At 41.3% G+C, this 18,361-nt stretch overlaps 1 annotated feature.

The window, feature by feature from the left end:
- Nucleotides 16,812-17,012: a silencer, noted in NCBI's record as "peak1668 fragment used in MPRA reporter construct". NCBI's record gives its function as "represses an SCP1 promoter by STARR-seq MPRAs in K562 erythroleukemia cells {active_cell/tissue: K562}" and the evidence as "EXISTENCE:reporter gene assay evidence [ECO:0000049][PMID:32103011]".

Consider the following 18,361-nt stretch of genomic DNA (forward strand, 5'->3'; position numbering starts at 1 on the left):
GCAACCAACACTCCCAGCAGCTGGGGGATTGAGTGCCTTGGTCCTGTGACTGGGATCTGGGCCATGTTCCAAATCATTCCCTACAGGACTTTTCCATTTTTTAACGTTATAAAGTTATCTAACAAAATGAAAACTTATTTTAATAATTAGTTTCTTTGCATGTATAATTATCAGTGAATTAGTTTCTCATTGCCAAATAGTAACTTCAATAGGATTTTGAGATACTCATTCAATAGGCTATTAAACATACTCCCAACTGCTTAAGAAAATAGTGTGTTCAAAATATCTTAAAATTTGCAATCATAACCTGTTGATCTTCAGTGTTTTTTTTTTTTTTAAGTGTCACTCTGTTGTCCACACTGGAGTGCCGTGGCAGGATCATGGTTCACTGCAGCCTTGAACTCCTAGGCTCCAGCGATCTTCCTGCCTCAGCCTCCCAAGTAGCTGGAGCTACAGGTGTGGACTACCATGCCTGGCTAATTTTTATTTTTTGTTTTTGTAGAGACGGGGGTCTCACTGTATTGCCCAGGGTGGTCCTAAACTCCTGGCCTCAAGCAAGCTTCCCACCTCTGCCTCCCAAAGTGTTGGGATTACAGGCATGAGCTACTTCGCAAGGCCAATCTGCAGTCATATGGTCCACCACTTTGATCAGGGACAGATTTCAGTAGGTATGGCAGGAAATTCTCCTGAGCACACGTAAGGAAACTCACATCTGGGCCACTTGTCACTTGAAAGCCAAAAACCCAAGAGAAGAGCTGTAGTGAAAGTAAAGTTAGCTTTATTCAAGAGACCAGCAACCCTGGGGGATGCAGTGAGCTAGCGTTCAAAGACCACCTCTGGTTTTTAAGGGCAATTAAGAGAAAGGATGATAAAAAGATTTTTGTGAAACGTGTGCAGTCTCAGGTCGGCAGTAAATCATTGCTTTCTTGGTCAATATTTTGTGGCTTTCTGCAGGTACCATCAGCCTATTCTTATTAGGTCGGTCAGCCCATTCACAGAGAGGCTGATCTAGGTATTTTCTTTTATCTCTGTTCAAGATCCTGTTTTTCTGAGGCTGATTTTAGTGAATGATCTACAAAATCAAGCAAAGTAATAATTGTATTCAAGTAAGCAAGCTTTCTTCTAACATGGAATCAGTACTGTCACACACACAGCAAATGGTGCTTTCTATTTAGTACCTTAATACATAGGGCACACATGTGTTTCTGGTGACACACAACTCTCTGGCTTTTACAGGTGTGTTAGTAATTTGAAAATCCTACTTGTTACAACAGTATGCCAGGGTTACTTGATGTCAGGGTTACTTGATGACCTGTGCTTAATGGAGAAGAATTTTGTGGATAATGAGAAATAGAAAATTTCTACCTGGGATTACAATTTATTATAAAGTCTTTTAAAAATAGATTTGAGCTCTGCTTTGTCTCTTAAGTTTAGTTGCATCTCATGAAGAGGCAGCAAAGTCTGATATAGAAGGTGGTGTCGGGCCGGGTGCGGTGGCTCACGCCTGTAATCCCAGCACTTTGGGAGGCTGAGGTGAGCGGATCACTTGAGGTTGGGAGTTTGAGACCAGCCTGACCAACATGGAGAAACCCCATCTCTAATAAAAATACAAAATTAGCCGGGCATGGTGGCGCATGCCTGTAATCCCAGCTACTTGGGAGGCTGAGGCAGGAGCATTGCTTGCACCCACGAGGTGGAGGTTGCAGTGAGCCGAGATCATGCCATTGCACTCCAGCCTGGGCAACGAAAGCCAAACTCCGTCTCAAAAAAAAAAAAAAAAAAAGAAGGTGGTGTCACAGGAGGTGCTAGATGAGACTTGACAGTAGCTTAATGACAGTAACAAGCAACAAGTTTGGAAAATACAGTGAGATCAATTACTCTCTTTTTATAATTTGTGTTGGTATTATAGGGGAAATTGGGCTTTGTCCCAAAGACAGGAGCAATAAAGAAGATGGGACTTTCAAACCTTTGGAATTATATCCGTGGCTAAAATTTTATGGGATTGCACCCATGGTTTGCATTTGGGTTACAAAAAAGTGACCAAGTTAATTCTTGCTGTTTTTATTGGCTTAAAAAGTGAGTGAACAAGGGTTAAAAAGTATTTTTAAAAATATGATTTATCTCAACTGTAATAACTTGAGGTTAACTGGCCTTGAATTAGAGGCACATGTGTTTTACAGTTACCTTTTCCTGCAACAAAATGCCACATAAATGTTCTCTTTGAAGGGATCCCTGTTTTAAATGGCTTGGTTTTCAAAATGTAAACAAATATAAATATAATAGAATTCAAAAGACACAGAGTAAACAGTAATGGTATTTTAACTGATCTCTACTTAACTTTGAAAATTTCTCTATCTCTAGCATTGTATTAAATATATATTCAGATTACAGCAGAGATCTGATTAGGGCTGAAATATGAGCTGCTCGAACATCACAGCAAAATGACAGCAGAAAGAAGTCTGAGGAATTCTGATCATTATAATCACTATAAAATATAATTCTTATTTGTGTTTTCTGTTTTTTTTTCCTTGGAGAAGATTATTGGTGACATCAGATGCAAAAGGGAGTGGATAGGAACAAGAAATAGAAATTGTAAACCTATAATTGTAAACCTACGTAACCATGCCCGGTTACGGCCGGGCATGGTGGCTCACGCTTGTAATCCCAGCACTTTGGGAGGCTGAGGCGGGCAGATCACCTGAGGTCAGGAGTTTGAGACCAGCCTGACAAACATGGTGAAACTCCCGTCTCAACCAAAAATACAAAAATTAGCCAGACGTGGTGGCGGGCGTCTGTAATCCCAGCTACTCAGGAGGCTGAGGCAGGAGAATCACTTAAACCTGGGAGGCGGAGGTTGCAGTGAGCCGACATAGCACCACTGCACTCCAGCCTGGGCAACAGAGTGAGACAACATCTCAAAAAAAAAAAAAAGAAAGAAAAGAAAAAGAAATTGTAGGTTATTGCAGAAAGGCCATGGCTTTTCTTCCAGTTGAAGTATTTCCATGGCTTTTCTTCCAGTTGAAGTATTTCCATGACATTCCTATCTCCTATTACTTGGGAAGAATCATTTCTAAAGATTGATTTCATGTCTTTGTTGTCTTTGTATAATAATTTATAACTCAATCTGCCTCATAATTACATCTTCTCACACATGACTTTCATGTTGCTGTTTTTCTTGAAACCTACATCTAAAGTCCTAAAGATCCTCCCACTCTGCCCATCCTTACCTGCAAGGCAGTTGCTCCCCTTTCATTCCAAACTAATTTCTTTCAGGAAGCTCCTCTGCATTAGGTAGGGCGAAGGAAGGATGCTTTTACTGTCCAGGTTCATCATGCCCCTAAAATGTATTAAAATGTAAAATCAATAATGCTTACCCTTCCCACACAAAAAAATGGAAAGACCATTAAGTTCTATTAAAATTTATAGAAATTTATGTGAGCTAAGTGTCTTGAAACCTAGTCTGTGTCCCTTGATTGAAGTGGCTTTAATGCTTTTTGAGCTGATGGTCATATTAACATCCAAAAATTTTTTATAAGAGATTAGCTTATTTTAAGATGCTGATTGTAGGAGGATAATTAGACAAAGAAACATGTTACTAGATATGCATTTCCTTTCTATATTAGAGTTTAGAGAAGGATACCCCAAGTTTCTTTCTTTCTTTCTTTTAGGCTGCTGTTGTAGCCAGTGGAATAACCTGGAGGTCTCAGCATTGCCTTAACTTTATGCACCTGGTCCCATACCATATGGCTGGATAATGTTTTGAGATATTTATGGGTTTAAAAATCTTTCATTTTCCAGGCCGGGTGCGGTGGCTCACGCCTGTAATCCCAGCACTTTGGGAGGCCGAGGTGGGCAGATCACGAGGTCAGGAGTTCGAGACCAGCCTGGCCAACATAGTGAAAACCCGTCTCTTCCAAAAATACAAAAATTAGCCAGGTGTGGTGGCACACGCCTGTAGTCCCATCTACTCAGGAGGCTGAGGCGGGAGAGTCGCTTGAACCCGGAAGGCAGAGGTTGCAGTGAGCTGAGACCACGCCATTGCACTCCAGCCTGGGTGACAGAGTGAGACTCCGTCTCAAAAAAACAAAGAAATAAAAAATCTTTCATTTTCCTCTCTTCATTTTAACTGTCCATTTGTAGCAAGTTCTGTGTGTCAGTGCCTTGGGGAAAGTACAAGTCGGGGAGGAATACAGAGTCATCCTGGAACTCTTTGTAACTTTTGTTTCCAAAAGTCAAAAGCCTAAGATAGGATGAAGTTTAAGGAAATAAGCTTAGAGAAGAGAAAGAGGTAGGATTCTCCAGCTTAAAGAGAGTGCCCCTGCCCCAAACCTGGGCAAGGGAGCCCTGGCTATGGCCCTGGTTTGCCAGAGGAGCTGTGCATTGCTCCCTGGCCTCAAAGGGACGACCTCCTGCTACACTTCCAGCCTGGGGCTCCTGGCTTTGCCTAAGGTTCCTCTGCTTCATTTGAGGCAGGAGAGCCCCTGAGTGCCAGCTGGAGGTCTCAGAGAACCACTGAAGGCTTGGCCAACAAGGATGGCTAGAATGATCAGAACCAATTGGAAATTAGAGATATTATTTCCTGGGGCACGTTGATCAAATTTTGGTAAAACCCTAGAAGCGGGAAGGAGGCTAATAATGATGGAGAAACAATTTCCTACCATTCTAGTGGGTTAAGGACATAGATGTTTGCTTATTCATTTAACAGATATTTATTAGAATTATTTGATCAGTCAGGCACTGTTCTAATGGCTTAGGATATATTCATGGATGAAAGAAAGATTCCTGTCCTCATGGAGATAATATTATTCTATGAAGTTATTTTTCTCTGAGCAGTTTTATTCTTCACTTCCTCTTTCTTCATTTCCTCTTTCTGATTGGGCTCCTTTTCCACGCCCAATTTTTGGAGCAGAGAGAGAGTGACTCCTAGGTAGCTGTTGAAGAACATGCAGATTAGGAGGGGGCTGTGGGAGAGAAACATTTGTTGAGAATATGACCAAGGGAAAGACATCCCTTGTAGGAGGGTGGTGATTGAGGTGTAGAGTAGAATTCAAACAGCTTTTCCCCTTTCAATATGTAATTGTGTCTCCCTTCACTCCTGCTGCAGTGAATTTTTCTCCTCGCAGAACCCTTTCCCCAACATCCACCCCTTCTGCTCTGAGCTTGGTGATAGCCGCCGCAGTCCCCTACCAGCATGTTCTTTCCCAGGCCATGTTGTCGGGACTGTAATTCAGCCATGACTGGCAAGCAACGAATCCGCCTGGCTGTTTGCTAATGTGATGAGAAAAGCAGGCTTCCCTCTTAGAAAGAGGATCTTGGAGACACTATTGTGATTGCATCTGAAAAGCTTAGATCAAATGGATAATGTCTTCAGTGAAGATCATTTTGGAATTTTCCTATTTATCAAGTTACCTTAGTAATTTTCTGGTCTCTCTGACAGAGTAGAAGTGAATCAATCAACTCATCATTGTCCCTCCATCAAGGCCAAGTGAATTTATATCTCCATTGGAGAAGAAACAAAACAATAAGCAATCATTCTATGTTTTGTAGAGCAATTCTATTTTGATTAAAACTATTTTTGTCTTTTTTTCTCAGTGTCTTCAATACGGACTTTATGTTTTTCTGTTATAAGCACTGACTGGTTAGTTACCAAAATGAGAAATAAGTCTGGAAACATCTCACTCATTAATGTTCTGTAACATCATAAGGGGAACAAATACCTTGTATTTACATAATGTTTGCAGAAAAGTCAAATATTACTTCCTTCATCCTCACAACCATAACAAAATGTGCTTCTGAGTCGTGGTCCAAAGACCATGGGACTAGGAGTCACAGACATGAGTAGCTATCTCAGCTTAACCTTGACTACCTGTTCCTCCTTAGATAAGTCATTTAACACACTAGCCTTGGTGTCCTCATTTTAGAAGTAAATGGGCTGGGCTTGGCGCGGTGGCTCATGCCTGTAATCCCAGCATTTTGGGAGGCCGAGGCAGGCAAATCACGACGTGGTCAGGAGATCGAGACCATCCTGGCTAACACGGTGAAACCCTGTCTCTACTAACAATACAAAAAATTAGCCAGGCATGGTGGCCGGCACCTGTAGTCCCAGCTACTTGGGAGGCTGAGGCAGGAGAATCACTTGAACCTGGGAGGCAGAGATTGCAGCAAGCTGAGATCTCGCCACTGCACTCCAGCCTGAGCGACAGAGCAAGACTCCATTTCAGAAAAAAAAGAAAAGAAAAGAAAAAAAAAAGTAAATGGGCTGGATTAGATGAATTCTAAAATCTCATTCACCTCTACAATTCTGAAATGCCTGTTTGCTATCACAGTAGTCAAAAGTCCCATTTATTGTTTCTCAGCTTTAACTTCATTATTTAAGCCACCACACCAGGGAGGAGGTTAAAAATGTATTCATCGGCCAGGCACAGTGGCCCATGCCTGCAATCCCAGCACTTTGGGAGGCCAAGATGGCGGATCACTTGAGGTCAGGAGTTTGAGACCAGCCTGGCCAACATGGTGAAACCCTATCTCTACTAAAATACAAAAAATAATTAGCCGGGCATGGTGATGGGCGCCCATAATCTCAGCTACTTGAGAGGCTGAGGCAGGAGAATCCCTTGAACCTGGGAGGTGGACGTTGCAGTGAGCAGAGATCATGCCTCTGCACTCCAGCCTGGGTGACAAAGTGAGACTCCCTCTCAAAGAAAAAAACAAACAAACAAAAAAAAGCCTGGGCGCAGTGGCTCACGCCTGTAATCCCAGCACTTTGGGAGGCTGAGGCAGGCAGATCACTTGAGGTTGGGAGTTCGAGACCGCCTGACCAACATGGTGAAACCCCATCTCTACCAAAAAATACAAAAAATTAGCTGGGCATGGTGGCACACACCTGTAGTCCCAGCTACTTGGGAGGCTGAGGCAGGAGAATTGCTTGAACCCAGGAGGCGGAGGTTGCAGTGAGCCGACATCATGCCACTGCACTCCAGCCTGGTGACGGAACAAGACTCTATTACAAAATAAATAAATAAATACATCTATTTTCTCCTCTACTGAGGTTTGCTTAAGCAGTAGAAGCCAGTTTAAGTCATGCTTACATGGCTGTTATTAGAGGGAAACTGTATTATGACAAGTTTTGAAAAATTAAGATTGAAGATTTAGAAAGTGATAGTTGACCAATGAAACATATATCATATTTGCAGAAAGATCCAGTGAAAATCCAAGCAGCTTTGCTCAGATCCAAACAGTTTCAATTGCCATTGATCTCATTCAAAGCTGCCCGTGGGTGGGAGACCGACCTGGAAGGGTGTCACTAACAGAGATAGCAAATGAAAACAACTCCTCTGTATTCTCATAGCTATTTTTTTCTAAAACCAAAGGAAATCTTAGACACCCATGCCCCTTCCCATTGTATGTCTCACGTAACTCTTCTCCAAGCACAGTTTAAGGAGGTTCAGGGGAGTGGCAATCAGGGACACAATGGTGTCAGATGGTGACCAAATATCTAGCACATAGCACCAACTGAGACACCTTTCCAATGGACTTGTAACATGATGTCACACTATATATTTGAGAAAGCTTCCAGTAAATAGGTGAATGTAGCCCTGGTTTATATGCCTCTTGTCTCAGCCTAATTATTTATATGACCCCTTTTATTCTCGAAAATGTCCTGTTTTGGGAATAAATTTTACAGACATTCTATCTAACATTTCTACTCTGGAAAACAAGTTAATTTTAAAAATGGGTATTTTTGAAACAGGGTCTTGCAATGTCCAGCCTGGAGGGCTGTGGCATGATCACGGCTCACTGCAGCCTCGACCTCCCAGGCTCAAGTGCTCCTCCCACTTCGGCCTGCTGAGTAGCTGAGAGCACAGGCATGTGCCACCATGCCTGGCTAATTTTTTTTTAAATTTATTTTTTGTAGAGACAGGGTCTCACTACATTACCCAGGCTGTTCTCAAACTCCTGACCTTAAATAATCTTCCCTCCTTGGCCTCCCAAAGTGCTGGGATTACAGGCACTGTGAGTGAGCCACTGTGCCTGGCCTAAAAAAAATTTTGAGTTAAAGATTTTTAATGTTTTGTGTAAGATTCTTTTTTACGAATTTTACTTTATTTTAGATTCAAGGAGTACATGTGCATGTTTGTTACATGGGCATATTGTGTAATCGTGGGGATTGGGCTTCTAGTGTGCCTGTTACCCAAATAGTGAGCACTGTACCTGATAGGTAATTTTTCAACCATTGCCCGCTCCCATCCTTCCCGCTTTTGGCATCCCCAGTGTCCATTATTTCCCTCTTTATGTCCATGTGTACTCCTTATTTAGCTCCCATTTATAAGTGGAAACATGCAGTAATTTTATGTTTCTGAGTTAGTTTACTTAGGATAATGTTCCCCAGCTCCATCCATGTTGCTGCAAAGGACATGATTTCATTATTTCTTATGGCTGCATATTATTCCATGGTGCATATACACCACATTTTAAAAATCTAGTCAAGCATTGATGGACACTTAGGTTGGTTCCATGACTTGGCTATTGTGAATAATGCTGAGTCTTTCTTATGGAATGATTTCTTTTCCTTTGGGTAGATACTCAGTAAGGGGATTGCTAGGTCAAATGGTAGTTCTTTTTTTAGTTCTTTGAGAAATCTCCATGCTGTTTTCTATAGAGATTGAACTAATTTACATTCCCTCTAAAAGTGTATAAGCATTCCCTTTTCTTTTCTTTTTTCTTTTTTTTTTTTAAGATGGAGGTTCACTCTTGTTGCCCAGGCTGGAGTGCAATGGCACAATCTCAGCTCACTGCAACCTCTGCCTTCTGGGTTCAAGTGGTTCTCCTGCCTCAGCCTCCCAAGTAGCTGGGATTACAGGCATGTGCCACCACGCCCGGCTAATTTTGTATTTTTAGTAGAGACAGGGTTTCACTATGCTGGTCAGGCTGGTCTCGAACTCCTGACCTCAAGTGATCCACTTGCCTTAACCTCCCAAAGTGTTGGGATTACAGGTATGAGCCATCATGCCCAGCCAAGCGTTCCCTTTTCTTCACATGCACGCTAACATCTGTTGTTTTTTGACTTTTAATAACAGCCATTTTGACTAGTGTAAGATGATATCTCACTGTGGTTTTAATTTGGCTGCCTGCATTTGTCTGATGATTAGTGATGTTGAACATTTTTTTCATGTGTTTGTTGGCTGCCTGTATTTCTTCTTTTGAGAAATGTCTGTGTCCTTTGCCCAGTTTTTAATGTTTATTTTTTTTTTTTAGTTTAGTTTTTTTTTCTTGTTGAATTGTTCCTTGTAGATAGATTCTGGATATTAGTCAGCAGCATAATTTGTAAATATTTTCTCCCATTCTACACATTGTCTATTTACTCTGTTGATTATTTCTTTTGCTGTGTGAAGCCTTTTAGTTTAATGAAGTTCCATTTGTCTATTTTTGTTTTTGTTGCATTTGCTGTTGGGGTTTTCACCATAAATTTTTTGCCTAGGCCAATGTCCAGAAGATTTTTTCCTAGGTAAATGAATAAGCAAATCACACATACACACAAATCCCAATGGCCAATATAATACAGAAAATATTCAGGCTCATAAGTATTCAAAGAATTGTGGTTTAAAGGCACATTTTCCTCATGTAAAATGTTTTGGTGTTTGAAGTGACACCAAAGTTTGGTAACGACAACTAATAATAGCAACAAACACTAGTGAATTCTATGTGTGCTAAGCATTGCATTAAATGCTTTACATGCATTATTTTACTGAATTCTTACAAAAATTCAGAAAGCAATTATTTTTATCTAGCTCACAGATGAAGAGACTTACTAATAGTTGAATCCAGATATTTCTGACAGCAAAGGACATCATCTTGGCCACTCTGCACAAGATCTTTATGTAGTTTTTCATTCAAGAGGTATTTATTATGTTTTGGACCTATATTAGGCTCTGCGAATTTCACTGATAAGAAGACATATGACTCTTGTCCTTGTAGAGCTTATAGCTTAGCAAGATCTTACAGATGGTACTGGTATTGCTGCTCAGGTTTGCTGTGAGATGAGCACATCAGGCTGTCTTAGTCTGATACTATTCATGCTAGTTAGATTGGATTGACATTTATTCCTAACTCCTTCTATGTGCTTTTCTGTGCTGCAGGTCCTAGAAAGCTGAAAGCTCCATTTCCTAGATCCCCTTGCAGGTAGGGTTCTAAACATGAATGGGTTCCTTGAATTAGATATACTCTTGAGAAATTGGTGAGGCGGAGGTCATCCTTCTGACATTGTTTCTCCTGGGAAGCAAGTCGTGGGAATGTATCAGGAAGTGAAAGAGGTAACTCAGTGTTCTTGCATCTAGTGTCCAGCTTCATGGGTTTTGAGAGGCAGTTATGGAAGTAGGAGAAGCAGCTACCACTTCCTATCCCAGCTTTATGATCTCCTAGTCACTGGGACACGGTAGGTCCAGTGGCAGCCCCTTGACTCCTGCTCCTTTGGTCCTTCCCATAATCATGATTCCTTCTTTTTTTTTTTTTTTTTTTTTTTTTTTTTTTTTTTGAGACGGAGTCTCGCTCTGTCGCCCAGGCTGGAGTGCAGTGGCGGGATCTCGGCTCACTGCAAGCTCCGCCTCCCGGGTTCACGCCATTCTCCTGCCTCAGCCTCCCAAGTAGCTGGGACTACAGGCGCCCACTACCACGCCCGGCTAATTTTTTGTATTTTTAGTAGAGACGGGGTTTCACCGTTTTAGCCGGGATGGTCTCGATCTCCTGACCTCGTGATCCGCCCGCCTCGGCCTCCCAAAGTGCTGGGACTACACATGATTCCTTCTTGATTGCTCCTTAAATACCTGGGGTTGTTTCTTCCTGTGCTGAATCTTGACTGATCTACCAATTCTCATTTGATTCATTTCACTCTCCTGGTTCTGATTCCATGTTCCCCAAATAGCCATCTGATTATGATTTGAAAGGCAATATTGTGTAACGGATAAGTATATAAGCTTTGGAATCAGATTTGGGATCAGATCCTCTACAATGATCATGGGCAAGTCAACTATGAATAGTGATTCTAATGCACTTTACAGGGTTGTCATGAAGATTAAATGCCACCTTATATAATAAGTACCTGGTACACAATGAAATTGATAAATCGCAGTTGTGTTATTCCTATTGTTATTACTAATGTGTGTCTGACTTTAACACGCTCTTTAGAGTTAAAGCAGAGGGCAGATCCCTACGACTTAATTAAAGACATCACCGCTACTATGTATTCATAAGATAACTTATTGTAATTAAAAATCATCTAAATTTTAGAACACCTTTTTCACAACACATATAATGACACTTACATGTATGACAAACACATGAACTAAGGGTATAACCCATGGTTTTATCTTCCATTCCAGAAAGCATGTGCCTTAGTCCCTTTCTGTTGGTTATAACAGAACACCTGAAACTCAGTAATTTATAAAGAAAAGAAGTTTATTTCTTACACTTGCAGAGACTGAGATGTGTAAGGGCAAGAGGCCACATATAGTGAAGGTCTTCTTGTTGGTGGGGACTCTCTACAGAGTCCCGAGGCAGCACAGGGCATTGCGTGGCCAGGGTACTGAGTATGCTAACGTGCTAGCTCAGATCGTTCTTCCTCTGCTTATAAAGCCACCAGTTCCCTTCCCAGGATAACCCATTAATCTATGACTAATCCATTCATGAAGGCTGAGCCCTCATGATCCAATCACCTGTTAAAGGCCACACCTCCACACCTGTTAAAGGCCACACCTCTCAATACTGCAACATTGGGGGTTAAATTGCACCATGAGTTTTGGAGGTGATGTTCAATCCATAGCAGCATGTTAGAATTCACATGAGTAAGAATGAAATTGTTATTGCAATATATTCAGGTATGTATATGTATTTATGTATGTTTTGTTATTTATGCTGTTATTTGTTAAAGCAAACGATTCACACATTTTATATATGACCATTTTACAGGTGCCTCGACCAATGAGAACATTTCCTCAACATTCCTGATTGCTGCTGTCTGTTTTTTATGTTATTACAACTGTTGTTCACTGATTGGCTTCCCTTTACAGATGCTGCAGACTGGAAAGCTCAGATGATGAGCTAACCTTATTTTATTCTCTTCTCGCTGTGATCAAAGTCCTGAAAAGCCTGTTATTGAATGTCTAAAAACAGTTGTTTCATGTATCTTATTTTTTCAGTTGTTTATAGTGGAAAGACAAGTCTAGTAAACCAGTTACTCCATCCTGGTGGAAGTAAATATGTCTCCATAAATATTTTTGGTCGAATGAATGATAAAATGCCAAAGAACCCTTAGAACTTTATCCCTGTTTTCTGCCAAACTTCATTTGTGGTCTTTTAGAGATTAAAGATACTTTTCCTTTAGGGCTAAAATTTCAATTATAGCTCCTGTCCCTTTGATCTTTTCTCTGCAGTGCCTAAATCCCAAATCGCCACCAGGGTGGTATTCAGCTGCTTAGTGTAGAAAAAAAGCTACTGTTACATGGATTTTTTTTTAGGACATAAATATGTATAGTTTACTAAATTACAATAAAACCAGAGAATTTTATCTGGCTTAGAGTCTGTCCCGAGCTTCCTAAAATGTCTAGTGTCTTATTCTCTTACAGTCCTCTTCCTTCATTCCACTAATCCTGGACACCAAAGAAACAAATGTCTTCCCATCTGTTTTCTCTAATTCTCAGCCTGGAGCACTGGTCCAGTGACCTCCAAACCTTTTTTCATCATGTACCCTTATCAATAAAGAAAGTTTGAAAAGCCAATATTTCAATGTACACATGTATTAAACATATCCTACTGAAAGAATATGTATTATGTACATAATAAAACATCCACAAAGTGAACCGAAAATATAAAATTAAAAATTCTAATTTTTCCATCTTGTATCCCAGTGGATAAATTTGCACCCTCTAAGGGATGCTCACACCCCATTTTAAGATGAATGCCTTGCAATGCAGAACAAAGTGCAAATGAGCCAACCCCCTGCAGTGCTAAATCTCCCTTGGCTCCCCTCTTGGTAATATTTTAAAACTAGACTTTAATGGTTTTTTTAGTTTCTTAATGTCCACACATAATCCTTCTTACTTCAGATCCCAGCTAACTTAATCCTTGATTTTTCTTGTTCTCTTTGGATTTCCATCATATTTCTTTCCTTTTGCTCTCCCTTATTTGTGGTCTTGTTTTCTCCCGGGCAATCTATTTCCCATGATAGTTTAACATGTAAGAACAGATGCATTCATGCTGACTTTACAAGATAGTGTTCTTGGCAATATTGAAATGATACACAAAAAAACAAGGAGGGAGTGATTTCTTTCAGAGTCCACTTGGATTCTGCCCAAGATGGAAAGGACCTGGAAGCTATTCAAATTAAGTTGCTAATTGGGTGGAAAACTGGAAAGTAAATTGGGACTTCCCACATGCAAAAATACATAAAAGAGATGTGAATAGAAATAAAACCTGTACTACTTTTCATTATAAAAATGACTCTTTAATACATAGTAAGAGCTGTGATTTTAGCCATTTGACCATCAGATCCTGGGATTAATATCAAAAGCCTATGAGACAAATATGAGGCATTTAAAGACAGGTCCAGTTTTCTTTCAGAAGACAACCACTGTTACCAGCTTCTTTTGCATCTTTTGAAATATATCATACATAAGACTAATAATAACATCCCACATAGACACTTCTGCATCTTTCTCTTTTCCATTTAACATATCTTGGCAAAGTTTCCAACCAGTACAGGAAGAACACCTGCATTCTTTTTAATAATCTCATAAAAAGCTGTAACTTTATTTATTTAACCAATACTATTGATAATCAATAGCACTAGTCTTTAGCTGTTACAAACAATGCTGTTTGAATACTCCTGCGTACGCCAGTGTGCATAGGTACTAATGCACCTGTAGTATTAATTCCTAAAAATTCCACTGCTGATCAAAGCATATGTGATTTTTTTACTTTTAATAGGTAATAGCAATTATTGCCAGCAATAAATGAGACTGAGCAATGTGTCCTTTACAATGCCAGGCATAATGCTTTATTGGTAGAGAGAGCTCACATATTCATATATTGACCCAATTAACTGTTGTAACAGTCAAATATAGGAAGAAAGGTGAAAGATATGGTTAGTATGTAATCTTTAACACAAAACATGACGATTATTCTCAATAATAAATTCAAAAGCAACTCATGTTAGATAAATGAGTTTCTGGGTTTATCACTTCCTTGTCCTAAGTTGGGCACAGAGAGATAACCCAGAGGTAAGCCCTGCTTCTAAACTCCACCCTAAGCCTATAAACTCCGCATCATACATCTGCAGTGGCTCTGACTTCAAAAAACGTTTGCTTTAAGAAACAAGGGTGGGTGGGCATGGTGGCTCATATCTGTAATCTCAACCCTTTGGGAGGCCAAGGCGGGAGGATCATTTGAGGTCCAGAGTTCAAGACCAGCCTGGCCAATATGGTGAAACCCTGTCTCTACTAAAAATACAAAAAATTAGCTGGGTGTGGTGGTACGGCCTGTGATCCCAGCTACTCAGGACGCTGAGGCACGAGAATTGCCTGAACCTAGGAGGCTGAGGTTGCAGTGAGCCAAGATCACACCACTGCACTCCAGCCTGGGTGACAGAGTGAGGCTCCATCTGAAAAAAAAAAAAAAAAAAAAAAAAAAAAAAGCCTAAAGAAAGAAGGGTAATTTTTTTGTTTTTTACTTTTTTTCATTTTGGGAGGTCGAGGCGGGCTGATCACTTGAGCCAAGGAGTTTGAGACCAGCCTAGAGAACATGGCAAGACTCCATTTCTATTAGGGGGGCGTGCTGGCATTGGTGGCTTATGCCTGTGTTCTCAGCTACTCTTGAGTCTGGGGTGGGAGGACTGCTTGAGCCCAGGAGGTTGAGGCTGCAGTGAACTATGGTTGTGTCACTGCACTCAAGCCTGGGTGATAGAGCAAGACCCTGTTAGAAAAAGGAAGGAAGGAAGGAAGAAGGAAGGAAGGAAGGAGAGAGGAAGGGACGGAAGGAGGGAGGGAGGGAGGGGAAAGGGAAAGAGAAAGGAAAGAAACAGGAAGGAAAGGAAAGAAAGGAAGAAAGAAAGAGAGGGAGATAAAGGAATCAAGAGTAGTAATGTTATATTTTATAAACCAAAAAGCAAGAATAAATTATTTTCACAGAACTGTTTGTTCTTATGAGGAACAAAACTTGCTTTTTCAGCCTTGGAAGCCTGAGGCACGAGAATCGCTTGAACCCAGCAGGTAAAGTTTGCAGAAAACAAAACAAAACAAAACACCATCAACAACAAAAAAAACTTGCTTTTTTCTTCCAGGTGTGCTTCTTTGGATAAAAAGATACTATTGTTAATGCCTCAATTGAAGGTAGTCTACTGAGTAGAGGATATTATTCAGCATTATCTCTGGTGGAAAGCATTTAGGGTATAAATGAAATCCTATTGGCAGGAAAAGATGACATCAAGAAGCCTAGAGTTTGAATTGAAAACATATAAAGGCTAAGGAATGGACAGTGGATGCAACTGTTGGTCAAGACCACTGGGGCCTGGAATTGGGATTTGCATAAATATACCCAAAAGCCAGCACACCAATGGGGGAACCATTTGGGGAAGGGCAGAGATCATTATTAATATCATCTCTCTTTATGGTTATATCAGTTCTGTTAGAACTTTGAAGTCTCTGCAGCAGGCCAACTCTTTGCCCTGTAACACGACACAGAGCCTTGCTTTGCTTTGAGAGCTAAACACGCTGCCTCGATGGTATTCATCCACATATCAAATGCAACTTAAAGCAAGAACAGAGGACAACAATGCCCTGTCCTGAGATAATGAGCCAGTTCTGTGTTCCTGCTCTGTGGATACCCTTTTCTTTTAAAGATTCTGTGATGCTAATCCCAATCCAAACAGGTCTACACTCAGTTCTACTCTTGTTTTTCATAGTTGGTATAAGCCTTGAATCCAGCCTTGATCTTGTACTGCCTGATAATGCTTCCCCTCAGTTGAGGTCGTTGCATGCTGACCTCTTAGCCAAGATCTTGTTGCTAGGGGCTTTAATTCTTCACTTTGACCTTCTTACCCAGGGTTTGAATTTTGTGGGGATTCTCAGGTGACTGTTAGCTCAACACTTGCATTTTGATCTCTGCGCTGCTGGTGAAAGTCCTGCTAACCACATGTCTCCTTTCTCTGAGAGCTGGTCCATGCCAACCCTTGAAGCCCTTGTCCTGCTCTGCAGCTTGACTGGCCTGAGAGGGTTCGGATGAGAGTCCCTCTGAATCGGGGGAGCTGTATAGTGCGGGTAAGAAATGGGCTTTGGAGTAAAATAGAGGTGATCTTGAATCTCAGCTCCATTTTTCTCTGGCTGTGACTTTCAGCAAGTTATTTAGCCATTTTGAGTTTCAGCTTCATCATCTAAAATATGATGACAATAATGTCTACTTTATGAGGCTGTCAACAAGAAACATATCATGTGTAACATTTTTGGCAAAGGCGGACACACCTTCTGTCCTTTATTATTTATTGTAGCTCTGTCCTGAAACCACTTTTAACCTGAGCTGCTTTTCTTCTCTAATCAGTGAGGACTGTAGTGGTCTTGATGACTTGTATGTCCTCAAAGAGATGAAGGGGAAGCATTCCTTTTTCTTCTCTTCCCATATGAGAGGTGTGTGGACTCTTCCTCTTCATGATGCTGAGTAAAAAGGTGGACACGTTTTTAAACTCCTGGTTAGGGAATGGCCCAGTCAATCCTCTCAGTAGACAAGAGGGAAGGACTCCTATGGGATGTTCTGGTCTCAGCTCTCCTCCTAACAACGACCTTTAACTTAGGGCCCTGCTGGCTGTGAAAATGCAGACTTTCGGCAGACAGCCCAGCAAAAAGCTCACACACCCATATTTCTTATCATTCGCTTTGGATTTTATAGCAGTGTAAGAGGAAGCAGATTAGAAACTGCTCTTTCATAACGAATATACCTACATTTAAAAGGCAATAAATGTTAGTTAAAGACCAAGAAAACTAGATACAAGGAAATGAGGATATTTTGTGGAAACGGCCATAAGGAAAAGTAGTGAGTGCATTTGCAAGCAGTGTCAAGCAATCACAAAAGGAATTTTCTTGTTCTGCACCCAAGAGAGATTCAAAACTGTTTGTTATTATTCTTTTGCAAAAAGCTTTTAGGTCTGAAGACCATTATTAAGTTTGCCTTCTGCCACTTCTTCTTACTAAGCTTAATAATTCTAGCTTTTTTTTTTTTTTTTTGAGATGGAGTTTTGTTCTTGTCACTCAGGCTGCAGTGCAGTGCCACAATCTTGGCTCACTGTAACCTCTGCCTCCTGGGCTCAAGTGATTCTCCTGCCTCAGCCTCCTGAATAGCTGGGACTACAGGCATGCGCCACCATGCCTAGCTAAGTTTCGTATTTTTATTTTTTCATTTTTTTTAATTTTTGAGACTGAGTCTCGCTCTGTCACCCAGGCTGGAGTGCAGTGGCACGATCTTGGCTCACTGCAAGCTCCGCCTCCCAGGTTCACACCATTCTCCTGCCTCAGCCTCCCGAGTAGCTGTGACTACACGCACCCGCCACCACGCCCGGCTAATTTTTTATATTTTTCATAGAGACGGAGTTTCACCGTGTTAGCCAGGATGGCCTCGATCTTCTGACCTCATGATCCGCCCGCCTTGGCCTCCCAAAGTGCTGGGATTACAGGCGTGAGCCACCGCACCCAGCCTAAGTTTTGTATTTTTAGTAGAGATGGGGTTTCATCATGTTGGCCAGGCTGGTCTTGAACTCCTGACCTCAGGTGATCTGCCTGCCTTGGCCTCCCAAAGTGCTGAGATTACAGGCATGAGCCACTGCACCTGGCCGATCCTAGTTTTTAAAAAGTTTTTAGATGGGCCGGGCATGGTGGCTCACACCTGTAATCCCAGCACTTTGGGAGGCCGAGGTGGGTAGATCACGAGGTCAGGAGATCGAGACCATCTTGGCTAACACGGTGAAACCCCGTCTCTACTAAAATACAAAAAAACTAGCTGGGCGTGGTGGTGGACACCTGTAGTCCCAGCTACTTGGGAGGCTGAGGCAGGGGAATCGCTTGAACCCAGGAGGTGGAGGTTGCAGTGAGCCAAGATCACGCCACTGCACTCCTGCCTGGTGACAGAGCGAGACTCTGTCTAAAAAAAAAAAAATAAAAGTTTTTAGATGGGTTTTCCCAACTGTTTGATTCTATTTTGAGTTCTCTTCAAAAATACCCACATTTTTAAGGAGAATAACCTAGAAGTAATCACAGTTTTCTTGTGGGGTTTAAACCATTGCTGAAGATAGTCACAATTCTCTTGTCTGATGCTTTATCACCTGGAAGAC

This window comes from Homo sapiens, chromosome 12 (genome assembly GCF_000001405.40).
Source record: "Homo sapiens chromosome 12, GRCh38.p14 Primary Assembly".
Classification (NCBI taxonomy): domain Eukaryota; kingdom Metazoa; phylum Chordata; class Mammalia; order Primates; family Hominidae; genus Homo; species Homo sapiens.